This window comes from Homo sapiens, chromosome 13 (genome assembly GCF_000001405.40).
Source record: "Homo sapiens chromosome 13, GRCh38.p14 Primary Assembly".
Classification (NCBI taxonomy): domain Eukaryota; kingdom Metazoa; phylum Chordata; class Mammalia; order Primates; family Hominidae; genus Homo; species Homo sapiens.
The window spans coordinates 70,958,171-70,962,101 of record NC_000013.11 but is presented as its reverse complement, the minus strand read 5'-3'; the positions used below and the strand labels follow the sequence as shown (position 1 = coordinate 70,962,101).

The following is a 3,931-nucleotide window of genomic DNA, read 5'->3' as shown; positions in this document are numbered from 1 at the left end:
TATACCTAAACAAACTGAGGAAGAAAAGGTAGTGAAGAAACTGGGGGAAACAAGATGAGACACATAAAAATAGATATAAAATGTGAAGATCTATAGCCATCCTAATTTTGTTATACTTTAAAATAATGCCTTTATTGTAGTCAAATGTTTGTGTTTAATAAAGATATATTTTTAAAATACAAACTGTCATTTTAATTAGAAAGTGATCATGTTGCTTATATTTTAAACCACTATTCATGCTGTAATCATCTTTTAAATAATCAAAAACAAAGACTATGTTTCTATAGTACATTATCTTAAAAAACAGTCTATGTTTAATGTGACTACCTGCTTTTTGTGAGAAGAAAACATTTTATGGACATGTCTTTTTAGTGTAAATTTAGATAAATTTATTCTAAATAAAATATTTTTATAAATACATCTATATTTCAAATTACAACATTATCAACTACCATTTACAAAGATCTTTGATTGCTTGTAATCCTCAGATTTAGTTAAATTAAAAGGACTCAGTGTAAATAAATAAATCCTCATAAAAGCAATCCAGATACAAAATTCTGTTTTCTTTTGATGAAATATTCTACTTACATTTACTATTTTAAAATATGTATTCTAAAAGCATTTTGCAATAATATAAATTTATGTTTCATTTTTGATAAATTTCCTGTAAATCTTAAAGTACGTTTATCATGATAGCAGTATTTGAAGGGACCCTATATCAGGTATTCCAAAATGCTACTTTCCAGAAGTTTTCTACCAGGATAAGTGGGGAATAATTTAAGGATTAAAGAAACTGAGTGATAATTTCTGAATATCGCTACAGGACAAATAACTGAGAGTTCTCTTTGAGTATGATCACTGGTAACGAAATTTGATGATGTATCAAAGGATAGTTTTTAAAAGCTGACAATAATTTAAAACCTTATAAGCTTGCAAAAGTTAAAAATCAACTTTTACTAGTTAGAATATTCGGCATTCTATCGGTAATATTGAAGATTTGTAACAATAAGTTTGACTCTAACAGGATTCTGAAAACGAGACTGTCAGAAAGGGGAAAAGCGCCACCTATTGATCCGAATATGCAAATTATGTACTGGTTTTTGAAGTAGCTGTGTAAAGCAAAAGAATTTTGGAGCTTTGCTTTGGAGCAAAAAAATTTACTAAGTTGAAAACTTAACTCCTTAATATAAAATTACTTAAGTCATAGTCATTCTCCAGAATATGATCTTTCATTTAAGGGTATATTAAATACGTCTTGAAACACAGTATTTACTGGCCTTCTTATTATGTTATCTTTGTAAGCAACAAATCACAACCCTCTCAGCAGTGTGTTTGATGAATTTTCTACTGAAATTATGAAACATAGGCATATTTTTAACTCAATAATGAAAGTTGTAATTAGAATGAAATTAGTCTTCACAATCCTGAGAAACTTGTGTTAAAAAACAAATTTTAGTTTAAGAGTCAGATGTGGTCAAATATGAACCATTTGACATGACATCATGCATGTAGCCTAATAAATGGTCTTAATATATGTAATTATAAATAGTCATTAGTTACATATTTCACTTTAGAATCTTAGAGCTTGATAATGAATAGTTAATTCATTGAGTGACATTTCAACAAATTGTGTTGAAATTCATGGACCATGTAGGCTGAGTGAAAAGGTAACTGTTATTATTTTAAAATAAGATTTTATGTCTTCATAGAATTGAGAAAGATTGACCTTCACATGAGATATCTCTATTCTTCTACTACATCTCCAATATCAATAGAAAACTGTTTTTAACTTACACAAGAGTGTCTTTTATCCTTTCAATGCATGGAAGATTATCAGGCTTAAATCCTGAACATATCTACAGGCTGAAACTGCCCCCAATCTCTGAAGTTATAGGGAAGCAATTTGGAGTAACATTTTAGAATAGTTCTTGCTCAGCAAAATGTTAACTGTAAAATCACTTAGCCTTCAAAAAAGAAACAATACTCTTATGTAGTTGAAGGAATTACAGAATTGTAAATACTGCTAATTAGATTAAAATGTGCTAAAAATTCCCATCAAATATGATTTCATATGCGCAGTATTAACTTACAAAGAAAGGCGATGTCCAAATTTCCATATTTTCCAAAGATGATGTATAAAGATTAGAGTTTGTGTATCTGTTTTACTAAAACGTAATTATAATGCCTCCATTTTACTAGCTTCACTGTGAAACTTTACAGGTTATCTTTGTTCTTTTCCAGATCAATAAGGTTACAGCAGATAACTATTAATATATTTCTTTGCATCCGCACAGTGAAAATTTTAAATATTAAAACGAAATATTGCAGCCCATATATCATCTACTCTTTACAAGACAGGAATGACAGTATTAAGATGCGCATTCAGGATAGCACTCTTTCTACTTTGAACGCTGTCAAGAACAAAGTGCTTTACAGACTTAAAATAAATCTAGGTACTAATCCATTGAATTTCTGACAACAGGAGCCCAAGGTTTCCATGCACTTAGCTGAGTACTGCATAAGAGCTTGTGCATTATTTATGTCCACTAATGGTGTTGCAATGCGCTTTGTGTGAAGCAGTGACAGTGCAATCTGCTAAGATAGCTGCTGCTGTGGACAAAGCCATACATTTTCTTGAGCTTGAATTTTTGACAGAATACTCTATTAATGCCAATTCTGCTTAAGTAAATGCTGAACAGGGGTCAGTTTTTCCTTTTTCCCCTTTTCTCTTATTATTTAAGAAAACAGTGCCATAAAATTGAAAATGATGTTCTAAGGTTTACTGAATTTTTCAGTACAATAGTGGCCGGTAAAGGTCACTCTACTTTTTTGTCTACATTTGTGATTTCATGTGATGGTCCACAGACTCAATAGGAAAGCTCTTAGCACTGGAAAAGGGAGGTGCTATTAATCCCAGTTTCAGTGCCATTATACTCTTCAGTGGATCAATAGAATTAAATGAGCTGAGATATTAGGAAAATATTGAAAAAAGCAGGAGGGCTGTATTGTTTGACCAGGGTTGGGATGAGTTGAAAATAAAGAACCATCTAAAGCAGCTGTCAATAAATCATGAAAACTATACTCTGAACCAAATGGAATACAGCATGAAGCCTCAAACTTTAAATGTCCATAATATCTGTTGTGGTTTTTTTAATTAAACATTTTATTTGAAATATCCTTTGCAGTTCTCTTTTTTCAATCACATATTTTTTAGAGAAAAAAATGTTCTTAAGCTGATATTTAGACGAGGGAAGTTCCACTCATAAATTACAAAATATATTTTGGTATATGAAGCACATTATAAAAGAAGTGGAAAGAGATTTCAAATATTGAAAAATGAAATGCAAAATTATTTTCACCTCTGAACATCTCTATTGGTCTCTCTCTCTCTCTCTCCTTCTCTCTCTCTATATATGTATGTATATATATATGTGTATATATACATATATATATATATATATACTTCTTGCATTATAGATATATGGCAAATTTTTCTCTTTATTGTGGCAATATTTTACCATTTAATTAAACAGTAATATTAAACAGTAATAAGTCAATACATTCTAGTCTTCTTAATAGCAAACATAACTTGTATTTTCTTTACCTTAGCCAAGAATAGGTATATGTTACATTGAACACTAATAATATAATGGTTTCTTCTTTGAACAAATAAGAGTAGTAAAGACTTATCAATTCCCACTAAATGAAATTGGAAGCCCTAGATAAAGGTTTCACAATCATATGTTTAATTCTTGGTTATTAAGCCTGATCAGATGTGGCCACATTGTAAAATTATCTTGCAGCAAATAAATTTAGGATATTGTACCATCTTTATTTTCAAAGCTAATCTCTAAGAAAGATCTTTACTTGAGAAAAATATTTTTAATCTCCGAATAATGTGATGGAGACTGCAAACTGTTTATTTAAATTT

At 29.8% G+C, this 3,931-nt stretch overlaps 1 annotated feature.

Annotated features, from left to right (window-relative positions):
• Positions 2,039 to 3,197: an enhancer, noted in NCBI's record as "VISTA enhancer hs882". NCBI's record gives its function as "enhancer in: neural tube[8/8] | hindbrain (rhombencephalon)[8/8] | midbrain (mesencephalon)[8/8] | dorsal root ganglion[8/8] | trigeminal V (ganglion, cranial)[8/8]" and the evidence as "EXISTENCE:transgenic organism evidence [ECO:0001131][PMID:17130149]".